The sequence below is a fragment of the Homo sapiens genome, chromosome 3 (assembly GCF_000001405.40).
Source record: "Homo sapiens chromosome 3, GRCh38.p14 Primary Assembly".
Taxonomy (NCBI): Eukaryota; Metazoa; Chordata; class Mammalia; order Primates; family Hominidae; genus Homo; species Homo sapiens.
The window spans coordinates 138,015,806-138,034,324 of NC_000003.12; the positions used below are offsets into that span (position 1 = coordinate 138,015,806).

General features: G+C 43.7%; 1 protein-coding gene and 1 long non-coding RNA gene across 4 annotated transcripts in view, besides 1 other annotated feature; one reads left to right on the forward strand and one right to left on the reverse strand.

Annotated features, from left to right (window-relative positions):
• Positions 1 to 17,844, forward strand: part of CLDN18 (claudin 18) — a 34,834-nt gene extending 16,990 nt beyond the window's left edge. For both annotated transcript variants that reach the window (NM_001002026.3, NM_016369.4), the window contains exons 2-5: positions 7,853 to 8,017; positions 8,802 to 8,919; positions 13,992 to 14,102; positions 15,165 to 17,844. In NM_001002026.3, the coding sequence (NP_001002026.1) occupies positions 7,853 to 8,017; positions 8,802 to 8,919; positions 13,992 to 14,102; positions 15,165 to 15,336 (566 nt within the window). In that variant the 3' untranslated portion in view covers positions 15,337 to 17,844. The remainder of the gene's footprint in view (positions 1 to 7,852; positions 8,018 to 8,801; positions 8,920 to 13,991; positions 14,103 to 15,164) is intronic.
• Positions 1,761 to 7,854, reverse strand: LOC105374127 (uncharacterized). 2 transcript variants are annotated; one of them, XR_007096112.1, is made up of 3 exons: positions 5,894 to 7,854; positions 4,768 to 4,863; positions 1,761 to 2,474 (listed from the first exon to the last, which is right to left on the reverse strand). It is a non-coding gene; the product is annotated as an uncharacterized LOC105374127 (long non-coding RNA). The 2 variants fall into 2 exon arrangements; XR_924534.3 differs by having other exon boundaries at positions 4,768 to 7,854.
• Positions 6,190 to 6,398: a silencer, noted in NCBI's record as "fragment chr3:137740837-137741045 (GRCh37/hg19 assembly coordinates)". NCBI's record gives its function as "represses an EF-1alpha promoter that drives an FKBP-Casp9 reporter gene in an ReSE screen in phorbol 12-myristate 13-acetate-treated (for megakaryocytic differentiation) K562 erythroleukemia cells {active_cell/tissue: K562(+PMA)}" and the evidence as "EXISTENCE:reporter gene assay evidence [ECO:0000049][PMID:32094911]".
• Positions 17,845 to 18,519: the final 675 nt, after the last annotated feature.

Genomic DNA, 18,519 nt, shown 5'->3' on the forward strand with positions numbered 1-18,519 from the left:
GCAAAATCTCACTTAACTTTTCATTCGTCTGACAAAAATGTATCATCATGTCTCTTTGGAACTTACAGCTATAGAAGAATGTAATTCAATGCAACAAGTTGTATTGTATAAACTACAGATAGATTAATGAGGTAAATGGTGGTGGTAGCAGGACTGTATACTTGTATATTACCAGCTCTGTATAACTGATACCTCAAGATTCAATCTCATTGTATTCTACACAGTCAATACAGCATGCAGTACTCTGAGGACAGTGCCAGAAATAAAAATAACTACTATTTATTGAGCTGCATATTGGCTCTTCAGCTTAATCTTTACAAAAATCAGGAAAATATGTATTAGCTTTAGGTTTAAAAAGTTGAAAACTGAGGCTGGGGGTGAGGGAAGGACATGCCCAAGGCCTCGTGGATAGAAGATGGCAGAAACAGGAAGTGAACACAAGGCAAAGCTTCTAAGTCTGCATCCTTTTCCCCTGCCCAGACCCTGTTTCTAAAGGCAGGAATGGGCTGCCTTTAGAATTGAAGAGCTTGGTCTAGGCTTGAGCACAATAAGCGCAGAGGGTATATGGGGGTTGACCCATTTGTAACAATATAATCAATGATGTGAAATTAGGAGTATGAATTAAGTTTAAAGCATGGATGACCTGCATCCCATTCACACATGCCTTCCCTGGAAACAGTAGAAGGGATGAGCAAAGGGCCAAAAATGAGCAGAGTGGAGAGGGGGCAAAGATATGGCAAACTCATGTCCCTGGCTCCATCATGTCCCTGGCTTGACATCACAGTCAAGTAATGCTTTTTCTAAAGTGTTTGCAAACATTTGGGCTAAATTTGGTAAAGTGGTAAGCCTTACAGTTAGAGGGAAGTGAGCTGGAATCAAGGGCACAATTTGGCCACCTACATATCTGGACCTCACTTTCCCCATTTGTGAAATGCCTCACAGTAAGACATTTATATGAAAGTGCTGGGCCGGGCTTGGTGGCTCACTCCTGTAATCCCAGCACTTTGGGAGGCCAAGGCGGGTGAATCACCTAAGGTCAGGATTTCGAGACCAGCCTGACCAATATGGTGAAACCCTGTCTCTACTAAAAATATGAACAAATTAGTCAGGCATGGTGGCATGCGCCTCTAGTCCCAGCTACTAGGGAAGCTGAGACAGGAGAATTGCTTGAACCCAGGAGGCAGAGGTTGCAGTGAGCTGAGATCGCGCCACTGCACTCCAGCCTGGGTGATAGAGTGAGACTCTGTCTCAAAAAAAAAAAACAAAGAAAGAAAGTGCCCTGTGACCCATTTACAAGATCTAGCTCTTGGTATCACTAAATCATCACTGCTGTGTCTACATCACTCGGGGCTCTCAGTTAGGACATTTGTTCTTCTAGCCTTTTTTTCCTCCAAACTCAAAAACATTTTATGAATTCAAATATCCAAAGTAAAGATCACTTAAGGTTCTGTGTTCTCCCTTCCCATCCCCATCCTACCCGTGTTCTGAGCACCTCACTATATCCCAGCCCCTTTGCAGGCACTGAGGGTCTTGATTTTTTTTTATATGACTATCTACATTTTCCCCTTTCTGCTTCAGTGTGTAAAAACAACAGCCACTGGAGAGTTACAGAGTTTCCTATCAACCTATAAATCATATTTACAGACACAGGAATGAAGTTTTAAACCAAACCACATTTAACCAGAGAACAGTTTCACAAAACCTTCACAAAATCTAAATCAAAAATCCATAAGGGAAAAAAATGAGACTTCTCATAAGTATCATTTTTAAAGGAGCTTGTCTGTTTATTTCTCGCTATTGGCTGAATGGTTTCACTGGTTGCGAAACCAGTTTGTCTTTCCCCATTTTCTGGTAGAGGAAACCAGCCCTAGAAGGTGAAGTGATTATAAGTTAGTTATAAAGTTGGGGAGTCTATTGGTTTTCAGTCAAGCTGCTTTCCCTCTCTTCAAAAGAGAAAAATATTTCAGCATCAGCATGCCTCTTCAAATATGTAGACAAACATCTAAATGTTTACACGTTATTGTACATATGAAGAAGACACCACAGGGAGCTGAGAATGGGCCTACACAGCTCAAGAGAACCTGCAACTTAGGTAAATGAGGCTGCTTGCCCTGATTTCTCAATGAGAAAAGCTAGGAACCAGAATGCCTGCTCAGCTTGTGGCTGTAGTGGTCCCCATTTAGATGGCAGAGGCAGCTACCACAAAGCATCATGCCCTAGGATGGCCTAGTCAGTGGTGCAGCATCATTTCATGGTGGGGAGACACATCATCAGAGTTGTAGTTGCATCTCACCTTAGAGGATGTCTTAGATGGTTCCTGCTGCTATAAGAAGATTATCTTAGGTTGGGTAATGTATAAACAACAGAAATTTATTCTCACAGTTCTGGAGGCTGGGAAGTCCAAGATCAAGGTGTCAGCAGATTCCATCTGGTAAGGGTTCACGCTCTTCAAAGATAGTGCCTTTTGTTGTGTCCTTATATGGCAGAAGGGACAGAAGGGCAAAAGAGACAAACAGGCTCCCTCAAGGCCTTTTTTTTTTTTTTTTTTTGAGACGGAGTCTCGCTCTGTCGCCCAGGCTGGAGTGCAGTGGCGGGATCTCGGCTCACTGCAAGCTCCGCCTCCCGGGTTCACGCCATTCTCCTGCCTCAGCCTCCCAAGTAGCTGGGACTACAGGCGCCCGCCACTACGCCCGGCTAATTTTTTGTATTTTTAGTAGAGACGGGGTTTCACCGTTTTAGCCGGGATGGTCTCGATCTCCTGACCTCGTGATCCGCCCGCCTCGGCCTCCCAAAGTGCTGGGATTACAGGCGTGAGCCACCGCACCCGGCCCTCAAGGCCTTTTATAAGGCCTCAACGTCATTCCTGAGGGTACCTCCTACAGACTTCACCTCGTAGTAGTATTGCATTGGGGATTACGTTTCAACATATAAATTTTGGAGGGAAACACACATTCAAATCATAGCAGAGGTGAAGAGGAAGGTCAATGAGGATAGAAACCCACCTATGCTGCCTCTCCCATCAGCTAGCTCCCTGCTCATTGAGGGTCTTCTGTCCATTTTTCCTGATCTTCTCCACTACTTAGATGCTGCTAGATTCAGGCCTTTCTTTTCTTCTTTTCAAATTTTCTTCCCCTCTTGCCCATAGCAATTCACACACCTGGCTGTTTCAAATCCTCAACCATATTTTATCATTATGTGAGAGGATTCACATTTGTATACAGTTAGTACAAGTCAAAGCTTTGTGGAGTTGCCAAGGGATACGTTGTTTTTAGGGAAGGAGAGGAAACTGATATTTATTGAGCCTGGCTTAGGTTTATGCCAAGTAGCATCTGATCCTCACAGATCTATGCAAGAGATATCTTTGACTACCTCCAGAATTGAGGACTTGTTTTCACTGAGCTTAAATGACTTACCTAATAACACTCACCTGGTATCACATTGTTCTGTAGAATTTTACAAGGTACAAACGACCTCTGTGTCGATTCCCTGGAATCTCCAGAGAATCTAGCCTCTCCCATATTATTCTCAAGAGCATTTCCTCTGGGGTCTGGCCTCAGACTACCATCTTCTGAGCTCCCCGACTTTGGGCTCCTCCATTAGCCCTCTTATCTCCAGTCTAGGACCAAGCTATGCCTGAAGGTATGGCTCCTCCCATCCGCCTACTCCACCAGGGCCCCAGTCCAGGCCTTTGGCTGCTGGTGAACTGCTGTCCCATCATCCTCACTCCCACTTCCACTTAGTGATGCCAGCTCCTGAGAACCCTCTTTCAGTCCAACTCTCCACTCTGAGTACCTCTGCTGAGCCCTTCTTGAAAGCTGTTGTCTCACATTATTCCTTGAAATTTTGCTTTGAATAATTAAATGAAAATCTCTGGGGATGAGAACAAACATTAGTATTTCTTTAAAAGCTCCCCCAGAAGATGCTCAGGTGCAGCCTGTGTTGAAAAAAAACCACACCTAAGGGCACCTCACCTGTCAGTTCACAGCTACTTGGGGAATTAAGGTATTTTGCAACAGGAAGGGAACACTGAGTTCCTATTTTTCTGTTTGCTTCTTTCAGCCCTGAATCCTGCCCACCCTTCAGGTCTGATAACACTTCATTGTTCATTGGGAAGAATGCTGTAGTCACACCTTTGGTGCAGGGAATCAGGCTTTAGAGCCTGTTGACTCACCTGTTATCAGCTGATAAGCCTCTTGATCAGAATATCAAGTAAGAGACAGAATGGCTAAAAGAGAAACCTACCTGCTACTTGCTTTGTGGCAGTTTTCTCTGTTTACTTATCGATAGAGAAGATTAGGATCCCAGAGGGTAGGACCATGCAGGTGCAGGGGAAGGTGAGTTTACCACCATGAATCTCCGTGGTCATTACTAGACATAGGGGGTTTCTGGCAATGAGCAGTGGAGCCAATTTCCTCCCACTTACTGGCACCTGCTCCCATGACAGTTGCCAGTGGGACCAAGACTGTTGATCGTTGTTTGTAGAATTCTCTTCCCAGCAAAGAAGCAAAGTTAAAATCAGAAGTTTCTTTAGGAGAAGAGAATCAGAATCAAGTATATGGAGATCAATGGGATAGAACTAGAATAGGTGGACACTGTCATTCATACTTCAGACAGATATCTGGTGAGAAGGCTGCTAGGGCCTCTGCTCCTCAGATATTGCAGGAGGCACTTTAACAAGTTCTACATTATCTAACTCTCCTTTTTCAAAATTTCTCATTGATTGCCGATTCTTCTGGCATGAAAAATTGCTTTATGATACATACACACCTTAGAGTGAATATGCTGGCAGCTCCACTGATGTTAGCTGTTGTAGGAGAGGGAAATCTTCCCAAGGTGACTGGAGAGAGTTCTCTCCCAGGACTGCTGGAGGAGATGGGAATGCTGTCATCTTGAGAGTTACATTTATAAATAATCTACCAGGCCAGCTTATTCCCTAAGAAGATTTGGAGAATGTTTTCTTCCACATTCTTAGCATCCATTTCGGAGGATGATAGTTTATGGTTGAGTCTCCAAATTTGGAGGATACATTCTGTAAGAGTATACAGATCCTTGTACCTTGATGGAAGCCAGGACTTTACCTGTTTTTCCAGAATAAGGTGCCTCAAAACAATGTGCTGTGATGGAAAAGTAATGATTTTGAGGCAATTTTGGATTTGACTCCCAGCTCTGCCTCCTTTCCCTTGGTGTGTGTCCTTAGGCAAGTTACCTCACGTGAGTCTCCATTTCTTCAACCATAAAATGGGTGATAATTTTATTACTTACATTGTAGGGGTTTTTTCCCCATGGATTACATTTTTGAATGTCTGAAAATTCCTTACTAGCTTTCACTAAAAAGTAGCAACTGCCTATGAAAACTAGGGCTGGACAGAACTCTGTTTTGTTTACAGTTTCCTCTGAGCCCTTTGCCTACAGCCCTATAGGCAGATTCCCTCAGTATCTCCTTCAAAGAGAAAAAAAAAAAGTGTTAAGCATTTCTCCTGTTTTTTTTCCATTCCCAAATTTTAATTTTGCCTGGATGTTATTAACTGGTCTCACTGAGGGTAGGAATGACACCTCCTTTGAATGTACCCCACAAGCCCCTTCTAGTTAAAACTTGGCAAGGTCTCCATCTGCATTTCTAGCTGGCTTCTGACTTGCTCCCTTGGGTCTAGGTAACAGGAGGAGCCTCATTAGGGTTTTGTTTCTCCTTTTTAAAAAATTCCTTCCTGGAAAACTACCCACCAGGATGCTAAAGGTGGCTATCTCCAAGAGTTGGAATAACAGGTTATTGTTTTTCATTTCCTGTTTATGGTTTTCTATACATCCTGAAATTTTTATATTGAACAGTTATTGCTTATATAACTAGGGAAAAAAAATCAGCAATTTCCCAAAAAAGAAAAATTATGCCCTTTACCTCTTCTCTGACACCACACTGTGGAATGCGATGTCTTTGCAGCCATAAGACTTGGCATGAGAGGTCCCCTCACATCTGCAAGGGGCTTCAGCAGCACTCTGGTAATGGCTTCGAACCTGGAGGGGTGGAAACTCTCCAAAAACAATAAGACTTTAAAGGTTAGCATGTCTAGACACTGATGAAACCATCTTCCATAAGTTAGAACCACTTGATTTCAAGTAACAGAACCCCAACCTGAATTAGTTCAAACAGGTAGGGATTTAAAAATAATAATAATAACAATGGTGCTGGGATAGCACCTGAAACCTAAGGAAGGAATGTATGTGGACCATAGGAAAAGCTGGAGTCAGGAGCTCAAACACTGTCAGGGCTCTCTACCTCACTGTTGGGTTTCATCTGCTTGCCATTATACAGCAGCTCACCACCTGAAGGAAACCACGGACTCCCAAGGACAGCATCTTACACTTTCAGCCCCTGGAGAGAGACTGGCCTGATGCTCTCTGTGTCCAGCACAAACATTCTGTATAAGGGTCTCATCTGCCCAGTTTGACTCAGATGCCCATGCTGGATTAATTTGCCATGGTCAAGGGCACCAGGTGTAAAGTCTGGGCCTGAGAGATCAAGGTCAATATTACTACTCAAAGTAGGGCCTGTGTACCAAGCTGGCCCACAAACTATGTGTTACCCACCTGAAGAGTTCTGGTACCGAAATCAAGAATAAATATTTCTAAACATTTATAACAATTTGACATGCCTGTGACACTCAAGCAGGTGATTTTGTATTTTGTCAGGATGTCAATTTGTGACAGATTAGAAATTTAAATTTTTAAGTAGTTTGAAAAGCACTGATGTAAGACACAGCAACTCCTTCAGAAATCACGGACTTAAGAGGAAAAAAGGGGATATACTGGAGGGATAAAACAATTGGTGTCTAGCACATAAGCATCTCCACACAGTTTTGCAGTTCAGCTCCACCAGACCAACCACACTAGGGGCCTTGCCTTCTGGAACACATGAAGGACTAATTTGTCTTCCTTGTTAAATTAATTATACTTGTAATAGACATGCTTAGTGACTGTCATTCGCCACTTTGGCATAAGCTCCATGACAACAGAGACCATGTCTGACCTGTTGTTAACTACTGTCATCCCATGGCCAGTCAGGAGGGCTCAGTAAACAATTGTTGCTATGAGTCACTGCAATTTAAGGATGCACTAGAAACAACTTTGGATATATCTGGAGGTGAAGGCACTGCAGAAGAGTCCCTGTAGGGCCTATAGCTATGACTGATTCCTAGAAAGGAAACTGCTGATAAACTGTAGTCTAGATGAAAGGCCTAATATTGTTATATTGTTTTATATACATCTGAAACCTACAGCTCACCATAATCTTAGTAGTTCCTTCTGGAAAGGGACAAAATTGAGTATCCTTGGTATATCACTTAGCAACCTTGACTTCATCATATGCAATAAATGAATTCCGGGTTTCCTAAAGTGGACACAACTATGTGAAACTTTTAGCGCATATGGAAACACAAGAGAAGAAAAATATTTAGGTTAGAAGTCACAGCTATAAGCTCTATCAGTAATTTGAACTCTTACCTTAGGCAAACTATTTTCCCCTTTCCAACCCCCAGATTATCAAGCTTTAAAAATGAGGAAGCTGAAATAGATACAATCCAAGGGCCCCCCCAAGTTCCAACCATCCATAATTCTCTGATTCTGAAGACATCTGAGTGCATGTCCTTCATCAGTCAGAGAATTGTAAGCAATGTATTTTGTATTTCCCACAATTCCACATCCTTTGACAATGGCAAGGTTCACAGTTTATGGACTTTGCTGTCTCTCAGAGGTTTGGTGCAGGTTAGTTGTGGTTGCTTTGTTTTATTAAACCACAGCCTAATCAAGTGTGCTGAGTTGGTCTTATTTGTCTGCTTGTGTCTTGCCCCTTGTCCCACAGCCATGCTGCAGGCAGTGCGAGCCCTGATGATCGTAGGCATCGTCCTGGGTGCCATTGGCCTCCTGGTATCCATCTTTGCCCTGAAATGCATCCGCATTGGCAGCATGGAGGACTCTGCCAAAGCCAACATGACACTGACCTCCGGGATCATGTTCATTGTCTCAGGTAAACACAGAGCCTGGAGTTCCCACTTCTGCGAATGTCAAAGCAAAATTATTCTGGTAGAGAAAACATGACTCCTCCCTACTGCTGAATGTGGTTCAGAACTTTTCATACTGAGATTCATGATCTGAGTGTGGAGGTCCAATTGTGTATCATGAGTACTAAGGTCCTTCTTAGCTGCCACTCCAACCCCAATATAAGAGGTTCTTAGCTGGGTGCAGTGGTTCACATCTATAATGTCAGCACTTTGAGAGTCCAAGACAGGAGGATCACTTGAGTCCGGGAGTTCAAGACCAGCCTAGGCAGCATTGTGACACCCTATGTCGATTAAAAGAAAATTTTTTTATTAAAAAAAAAAAACTTAGTTAGCTTTTGAATCTTAACTTAAGCTGAAAAAAAAGAGGTTCTCAACCCTAAAAGAGTCATGTGACTTGATCCCTAAAAGGCATTTTCTTGGCGAGGCTTTAGAAAACGATTTTAAGGGAAGATACTTTGACATTACCAAAGAACCAGACTGAAAATATTTGGAATATTGAGCCTTGGTCCCAAGATGCATGAAAAATTTCTTTCTGTACACACACATATCCTTCCACAATTAGCGATATAAAACATTCTAAGCACCTATCACAATATTTAGCACATAGCAAGAATTCAATAATCAATGCTTGGTTATAGGGATACAATATTCTGCAGCCTACTCATCTAAACTCATCTAGGCATAAACTGCCTCAGAAACATTGTAATCCCTTGAAACTAACTCTGGAGTTTTCTTTTTCTTTGCCCACAGGTCTTTGTGCAATTGCTGGAGTGTCTGTGTTTGCCAACATGCTGGTGACTAACTTCTGGATGTCCACAGCTAACATGTACACCGGCATGGGTGGGATGGTGCAGACTGTTCAGACCAGGTAACCTCCTAATCTAGGTCTCGGCATTCACCATGATGAATATTGTTATAAGAATCTGATTAAACACATGCACCTAATGTGACTGTCAGTGCCTGAAATAGCAAAAATTATCAGAGACAACCATGCCATATCATAAATCAACAATCACCTGTAAATTCATAAACTTCATTTCAGTGAAATATCCTTGGTGATATGACTTGAGGCTGATCTGACATTTGCATTGAAATACAGTGACAGTTCATAGTATTTATCTAACACTCTTACATAAGCCCCATTGTGGTGGCAATGAAACAGGCACTATTAACCCAGGCAAGTAAATGAACATCAACTTACATCTACAGTCCATAACTGGAACCTGGCTAGGAACAGGGAAACGTTTGAATAGAAATTAGCAAGGTGAAGTATGGGTGAGAAAAGTGATGTTCCTTCCTGGTATAGCTGCCTCTTTCTCTCATTCATTAATTCATTTATTCTACAAATGTATTGATCACCTGCTGTAAGCCAAGACATGTTCAGAGTGCTGGAGATACAAAGTCCCCACTCTCACAGGGGGTACAGTCTGGCAGAGGGAGATGAAACCCCACTACGATTTGGTGTCTGAAGGAGAGTAGAACTTTTAAAAGATGGAAAAGCAATACCAACGCCCATATTCATTTAGTCACTTTAAAGGGATAGATCTCATAGCAAGAAGCTGGAGCAAATTCCTGAAAAAGAAAGATCTTGTTCTTGAGAAGAAATATAAATATTAGACCTCAGTGACCTGTCATCTCTGGATCATGCACTTGGCATTTTTCCAGCCACACCAACATGGGGTACAGACGGAGAGGGAGGGTGTGATAAATCCATTACCCTCTGGCTCCCTGGAACTCCAATCCCCATTCATTTTTCTGCTTTATTTCAAGAATGTAAAGGAAATGATCCCCAAAAACTTCCCTGATCCTACTCATGGTCTCTTAGTTACAGGTGCAACTTAGAAGTAGGTTGACCAACTCATTCCAGTCTGCCTGGGACTTTCCCAGTTTTAGCATTATGGGTTCCACATTCTGGGAAACCCCTCTATCATGGGCAAACAAGAATGATTGCTCACCCTACTTAGAAAAGCCCACCTTTCCCAGAGTATTTGGGTGCCTGGGGTCATTGCCCTTGCCCAGAGGAGCCATCTACCAGCCACTTTGCAGTTAGCACTAATGCCTGCCATCACTCTCTCACATCATCTCCCTAGCACCAGCTCCTGTCCCACAGGCAGGCAGCTTCAGTCCTGGAATTAAGACTATAGAATTCTGAAAGGCCTCCTGAACTTCTCCCTCCATGGATGGGCAGCTGTCTTTCCCTTTCTTTTGTCTTCTCATTTTCTCCACCCAGAAGTCTTACAAGACAGCCCAGCTGCCAAGAAAGACCTTGGCAGTAACCTTGATGGAGCTTTGGTTCCAGTGCCCCACTTGGTCCTGGGACCCCCCTCCTTCTCCTGTTCCCCGACTCTGTTATTGCCGTGTTGTATGTAACAGTGGCAGAGCCTAAGCCCCTGACTAGAGCTGCAAACTGCCTGCCCTCACACTGTACACAGTCTGCAAGGTGTTTTGTATAAAACATTTCATTTTATAATCTGAACCAATTACCAACTTCTAAAAATTAGAAGGGTTAGGCTGGGCGCGGTGGCTCACGCCTGTAATCCCAGCACTTTGGGAGGCCAAGGTGGGTGGATCACAAGGTCAGGAGTTCGAGACCAGCCTGGTCAATATGGTGAAACCCCATCTCTACTGAAAATACAAAATTAGCTGGGCGTGGTGGCAGGCGCCTGTAGTCCCAGCTACTTGGGAGACTGAGGCAGGAGAATCACTTGAACCTGGAAGGCAGAGGTTGCAGTGAGCCGAGATCGCACCACTGCACTCCAGCCTGGGTGACAGAGCAAGACTCCATCTCAAAAAAACAAACAAAAAAAAATTAGAAGGGTTAAGGGCTGGTTTTCTCAGAAACAGATCCTGAGAAGAGGATCCCAGTGCCAGAGTTCTTTAAGAAAAGGGAGATGGTTAGTGGGTGAAGGAAACAGGGACGGGAAGGAAGGGAAGCCAAGCACGGGCGTGATTTCAGGTGAAGCCCTGAACTCAGCCTGATCCTGAGGAGAGCTGTGCAGTGTGAATTATACGCCAGAGTTGTCTCAACTCCAAACTAAAGAGCTGAGCTTTCATACCTCGGTGCCAGTCAGTCCCTGGGGGCAGAGTGGCTTCAGTGGCTAAACCAAAGCCAGAATTCCAGAGGCAGCCACAGGGGCCAGCAGGTAAAGGAAAAGGAATACACAAGCTGGAGAAGAGACCCACAGAAACGGTTAAAGGGTAGAGCACCACTAGTGCCTACTACAAGGAGACTTCACCCCACACACACATACACATACTCTGCTTTTCCAGCTTTGTGTAAAAAATCAGAAGATCTGGCAGCATTACACTGGGCCCTCATTCTCATATGACCTCCATCTCTGCAGCTGAGAGGCAGCTGCCCTTTTGGCTAGGACTCACTCTGTCCAGTTTACCACAATCCCCACTATGCCCAAATAGCCCAACTCATGCTTATAGGGATTTTTCCCATATATTACAGTTGAAAAAATGAAATATGTTCTTCTATCTAGCTCACTTCACATTTAAGTTTCTTGCCTGTCCCAGGTAAGTATTTAGGTTTGCTAACCTTGACCCAGAGTGTCTAAGTTGAGGAAAAGGACTTTGTCCCTCATGCTCAGAAGATGCATTAACAATGAGAGTTTTGAAGGCAAAGTGACCTGAATTTGAATCCTGATGATATCGTGTCCTTCCTGGGTCATTGGAGAAGTTACTTAACCTTGCTGAGCCTCAATCTCTTCATCTGTAAAATGCAAGTGACAAATACTATCACAGTGGCTATTGGGAGAATTAAACAAGATAGTGGTAAAAAAGTGCTTATCACAATATCAGTAAGGGCTTAATAAATGGTAGCAATTGTTGTTATCATCATTAGCATTAAGCAATCACTCAACCATCCATAGGGGTATCAAGGACAGGGGCTCTGTCTGTGTCAGGGCCCATGGACCAGAGCTGTCAGCAGGAAATCACCTAGGGACCCCCTAGGAGAAGCCCCAGGAAAAGATCCGCTGTTCAGCTCCCAGCCACACTGGGTAGGATGAGGGGGCAGGGCTCTTCATGCCAAGGCAGAAGCCCTTAAACCAAATTTCTGTCTTTTTCCCAGTCCAAGGAAATAAAAATAGCCTACAGGTAAATGTTCTCCCAGAACTTTTTCAAGGACTGAGCTCAGTCAACTATACTTGATCATGAAGCTTACATTGTTTACTTTAATCCTGCTAAAGTGTGTGTGCTTTCTTTTTTTTTTTTTTCTTGAGACGAAGTCTCACTCTGTTGCCCAGGCTGGAGTGCAATGGCGCAATCTCGGCTCACTGCAACCTCCGCCTCCTGGGTTCAAGCAATTCTCCTGCCTCAACTTCCCAAGTTGCTGGGATTACAGGCACCTGCCACCACACCTGGCTAATTTTTGTATTTTTAGTAGAGACGGGGCTTCACCATGCTGGCCAGGCTGGTCTCAAACTCCCTACCTCAGGCAATCTGCCTGCCTCGGCCTCCCAAAGTGCTGGGATTATAGGCGTGAGCCACCACACCCAGCCAATGTGTGTGCTTTTAAAGCACATCTAAAGTATTGTATTTTCTTAGGTTGCAGAGGTTTGCACACATATTACTTGTCTTCCTATTGTTGGTATAACGTTCTTAGCTTGTGTCGTAGACTTTAAACATATTAGTAATTCACAGAGTTCTACAAACAGTCCCCATGCTCTTTGAGGAACACAAAGGGAAACTTCCAAGAGAAGGCACTCCTTTTCCATGCTGAGCTCTCCTTTTCTGCAGAACTCATGGAGCCGGAAATCAAGTTATCAGCTGGCATTAAAATACGCACTGACATCCTAATAGTTTTTGGTCACTTGAAGAAGGATACTGCTCTCCACCATCCAAAAATATCCATTTGGGATCACAATTATTTTTTTCTCAGGAGATTTTGTTCCCAATCCTGATCTGATGTAATTGAGTCCCATTGGAGGCAGCCCCCCTAGGCAAAGGGCACCAGCTTTGGAGTCAGACCACCCCAAGTTAGAATTCTCTTGTGAGCTGGAACAGAAGCACCACGAGCACAGGGTCTCTGTCTACCTTGTTCGCCCTGTGTCCCAGTACCAGGGCAGGGCTCTGCACATAGTAGGAGCTCAATAAAGACTTGTTGAACAAATAAGTAAAGACATCAATAAAAGAATGAATAGTCACTTCAACTTAGTTCCTTCTGAAGGTAATAGCTCTACCTGCATGGAGGGTTGTAAGGATTATTTGAGATAAGTTAAGATGACTACTCGTTGGCCCATACTGAGAACTCAAAGAACTAAAATTCCTTCAGAAATAATAACTTGAGATTGATTTTTTTTTTCAGAGTCTCGCTCTGTTGCCCAGGCTAGAGTGCAATGGCACAATCTCAGCTCATTGCAACCTCCACCTCTCAGGTTCAAGGAATTCTCGTGCCTTAGCCTCCTGAGTAGCTGGGATTACAGGCGTGCACCACCACACCCAGCTAATTTTTGTATTTTCAGTAGAGACAGGGTTTCACCATGTTGGCCAGGCTGCTCTTGAACTCCAGACCTCAGTTGAAACTTGGCCTCCCAAAGTGCTAGGATTACAGGCATGAACCACTGTACCCAGTCGAGATTGATTTTATATCTTTCAAATTTCTCTTGCCAAACCTTCAAGACACTTTCTTTTGCCAGTAGAGAGGGGAGGGAGATTTCTTGAGATGTGTCACAGAGATAAGATTTATAATTTTATGGTTGAGTGATGCTAGAATCCCCCTGCTGTTTTGCCCCCTAACTTTAGTCCCAATTCTACTCTCCAGGGTACCTGATCAGTTGGCTGTGACCCACAGGAATGTGTGTTCAGGGGCATGGTCAGGGATGGATGTGGAATCCAAAAGTGGGGACAGAAAGAACAGGCACAGCCAGGTGCAGTGGGTGGAGCCTGGAGAGTTGAGTCAACCATATTGACAGCCACCATCTCCCTACCCAGGTACACATTTGGTGCGGCTCTGTTCGTGGGCTGGGTCGCTGGAGGCCTCACACTAATTGGGGGTGTGATGATGTGCATCGCCTGCCGGGGCCTGGCACCAGAAGAAACCAAGTGAGTCTCCCTGTTCCGCTGCAACCAGACGTTTTATTTGTTCAGGGTCTATTTTAATGTATAACTTGCAGCCAAAAAAAAAATCAGTCTAGGTATATGGATGAACTTTATTTGACTTAAGGATTATCGAAGCTTCTCTTTTAGGGGGAACCTAAAGAACAGAATGGGAATATTTCAGCCTAGACTGATTTAAATGTGATCCTATTTGAAAGAAAAATCCATCCTTCTTTGTTCCTTCTGAGATTGTTTTGTAACTCCATGGTTCTCAACTAGGAGCAATTTCCCCCCCAGGGGATATCTGGCAACACGTGAAGACATTTTTAACTGTTACAATTTTGGGAGGGTGGGGGAAAGTGATACTGGCCTCTGGCGGGTAGAGGCCAGGGATGCTGCTGAACACCCTACAGTGCACAGAACTGTGCCACAGCAAAGAAGCATCTGTTCCAAAACGTCAACAGTGCTGCTGCTGAGAAACTCTGCTGTAACTTCCTAAATTGAACTGGTGTGGGGACAGCTGGATTCCAGTGTGGTTCTGCTACTGACCAGCCCTGTGACCTCCAGCAGGTTGTTTGCCCTCTCTGTGCCTCTATCACCTCATCCATGAAATGAGCAGCTTGAGGCAATGGGCTGAACGTAGGTACCCTCCAGCTCACAAATTCTATGATCCTTTGACGTAACAATGTTCCCCTGGACATTGTTTCTGGTTCAGCTGTATTTTTATTGATTGAAAGAGGGAACTCATTAGTTACCGAGGATTTGGGGATACCTCTCTCCACCATCCAAAAATGTCCATTTGGAATCACAATTATTTTATTCTCAGGAGATTTTGTTCTCGGCTCAGCAAAGCTCTAAAACAGTGCAAGAACTTCTGTTCCACTGCAGAGGCAGTAAAACCAGTGTACCAAAAACTAAGGTTACTAACTATCCTGGTTTGCCCCGGACTGATGGGTTTCCAGGGACACTGGACTTTCAGTGCCAAGACTGAGACAGTTTATGGTAAATAGGAGGTTGGTCCTACTAACAAAGACATCTACAATCATGGAATGTTTATTTTTCTTTCAGCTACAAAGCCGTTTCTTATCATGCCTCAGGCCACAGTGTTGCCTACAAGCCTGGAGGCTTCAAGGCCAGCACTGGCTTTGGGTCCAACACCAAAAACAAGAAGATATACGATGGAGGTGCCCGCACAGAGGACGAGGTACAATCTTATCCTTCCAAGCACGACTATGTGTAATGCTCTAAGACCTCTCAGCACGGGCGGAAGAAACTCCCGGAGAGCTCACCCAAAAAACAAGGAGATCCCATCTAGATTTCTTCTTGCTTTTGACTCACAGCTGGAAGTTAGAAAAGCCTCGATTTCATCTTTGGAGAGGCCAAATGGTCTTAGCCTCAGTCTCTGTCTCTAAATATTCCACCATAAAACAGCTGAGTTATTTATGAATTAGAGGCTATAGCTCACATTTTCAATCCTCTATTTCTTTTTTTAAATATAACTTTCTACTCTGATGAGAGAATGTGGTTTTAATCTCTCTCTCACATTTTGATGATTTAGACAGACTCCCCCTCTTCCTCCTAGTCAATAAACCCATTGATGATCTATTTCCCAGCTTATCCCCAAGAAAACTTTTGAAAGGAAAGAGTAGACCCAAAGATGTTATTTTCTGCTGTTTGAATTTTGTCTCCCCACCCCCAACTTGGCTAGTAATAAACACTTACTGAAGAAGAAGCAATAAGAGAAAGATATTTGTAATCTCTCCAGCCCATGATCTCGGTTTTCTTACACTGTGATCTTAAAAGTTACCAAACCAAAGTCATTTTCAGTTTGAGGCAACCAAACCTTTCTACTGCTGTTGACATCTTCTTATTACAGCAACACCATTCTAGGAGTTTCCTGAGCTCTCCACTGGAGTCCTCTTTCTGTCGCGGGTCAGAAATTGTCCCTAGATGAATGAGAAAATTATTTTTTTTAATTTAAGTCCTAAATATAGTTAAAATAAATAATGTTTTAGTAAAATGATACACTATCTCTGTGAAATAGCCTCACCCCTACATGTGGATAGAAGGAAATGAAAAAATAATTGCTTTGACATTGTCTATATGGTACTTTGTAAAGTCATGCTTAAGTACAAATTCCATGAAAAGCTCACTGATCCTAATTCTTTCCCTTTGAGGTCTCTATGGCTCTGATTGTACATGATAGTAAGTGTAAGCCATGTAAAAAGTAAATAATGTCTGGGCACAGTGGCTCACGCCTGTAATCCTAGCACTTTGGGAGGCTGAGGAGGAAGGATCACTTGAGCCCAGAAGTTCGAGACTAGCCTGGGCAACATGGAGAAGCCCTGTCTCTACAAAATACAGAGAGAAAAAATCAGCCAGTCATGGTGGCCTACACCTGTAGTCCCAGCATTCCGGGAGGCTGAGGTGGGAGGATCACTTGAGCCCAGGGAGGTTGGGGCTGCAGTGAGCCATGATCACACCACTGCACTCCAGCCAGGTGACATAGCGAGATCCTGTCTAAAAAAATAAAAAATAAATAATGGAACACAGCAAGTCCTAGGAAGTAGGTTAAAACTAATTCTTTAAAAAAAAAAAAAAGTTGAGCCTGAATTAAATGTAATGTTTCCAAGTGACAGGTATCCACATTTGCATGGTTACAAGCCACTGCCAGTTAGCAGTAGCACTTTCCTGGCACTGTGGTCGGTTTTGTTTTGTTTTGCTTTGTTTAGAGACGGGGTCTCACTTTCCAGGCTGGCCTCAAACTCCTGCACTCAAGCAATTCTTCTACCCTGGCCTCCCAAGTAGCTGGAATTACAGGTGTGCGCCATCACAACTAGCTGGTGGTCAGTTTTGTTACTCTGAGAGCTGTTCACTTCTCTGAATTCACCTAGAGTGGTTGGACCATCAGATGTTTGGGCAAAACTGAAAGCTCTTTGCAACCACACACCTTCCCTGAGCTTACATCACTGCCCTTTTGAGCAGAAAGTCTAAATTCCTTCCAAGACAGTAGAATTCCATCCCAGTACCAAAGCCAGATAGGCCCCCTAGGAAACTGAGGTAAGAGCAGTCTCTAAAAACTACCCACAGCAGCATTGGTGCAGGGGAACTTGGCCATTAGGTTATTATTTGAGAGGAAAGTCCTCACATCAATAGTACATATGAAAGTGACCTCCAAGGGGATTGGTGAATACTCATAAGGATCTTCAGGCTGAACAGACTATGTCTGGGGAAAGAACGGATTATGCCCCATTAAATAACAAGTTGTGTTCAAGAGTCAGAGCAGTGAGCTCAGAGGCCCTTCTCACTGAGACAGCAACATTTAAACCAAACCAGAGGAAGTATTTGTGGAACTCACTGCCTCAGTTTGGGTAAAGGATGAGCAGACAAGTCAACTAAAGAAAAAAGAAAAGCAAGGAGGAGGGTTGAGCAATCTAGAGCATGGAGTTTGTTAAGTGCTCTCTGGATTTGAGTTGAAGAGCATCCATTTGAGTTGAAGGCCACAGGGCACAATGAGCTCTCCCTTCTACCACCAGAAAGTCCCTGGTCAGGTCTCAGGTAGTGCGGTGTGGCTCAGCTGGGTTTTTAATTAGCGCATTCTCTATCCAACATTTAATTGTTTGAAAGCCTCCATATAGTTAGATTGTGCTTTGTAATTTTGTTGTTGTTGCTCTATCTTATTGTATATGCATTGAGTATTAACCTGAATGTTTTGTTACTTAAATATTAAAAACACTGTTATCCTACAGTTGAATAGCTTCTGCTCTTTTTTCATATGTTTTGGGAAGTGGAGGTGGGAAGTCCCAGCACCTCAACGCTGGATGCTTCTTCATGGGAGTTTTTCTGCTTTCAGAATCCATTTCTGCTCAACAGCAGCCTAGCTACCTAGAGCTAGGTGTCGTTCCAGACCAGTTTGTGGTTTCTGCAAGTTGGGAAGCCTTAATGAAGAGGAGTTCCCAGAGCAACCAGGCATGCAGCATGGGGTCCAAGGATCCAGTTTAGCCTGTCTGACCCTAAGCGCACAAGCCCGAAGTGTCTAATGTCATTGTCCTGTTTGTGGGCCAGTAAAACAAGAGAGCCAATGCCTGCCCTCTTGATGCTGCCAAGGTTGGGTTGACCAGCTCAATAAACTGAGGCTGTATCCAAGCTACAAAAGCAGCATAAGCTATATAGTCAGAACAACCCAACCTCAAATCCAGGTCATACTACTTTGCAGCTATGTTAGCTTGAACAAAGCCCTTAAACTTTCTGAGTCTCCATTTCCTTATCTGTAAAATAGGGATGATAAGAATAATGGAATAATACAAGTAAAGGACCCACTTAAGTGACAGTAAACCAAGCTTCACAACTTTAAGACAAAGAGGGCAATGCTTATGTAACTGGGGTATCTGAGGTCAGGGTTGGCTTCAGACACAGCTGAATC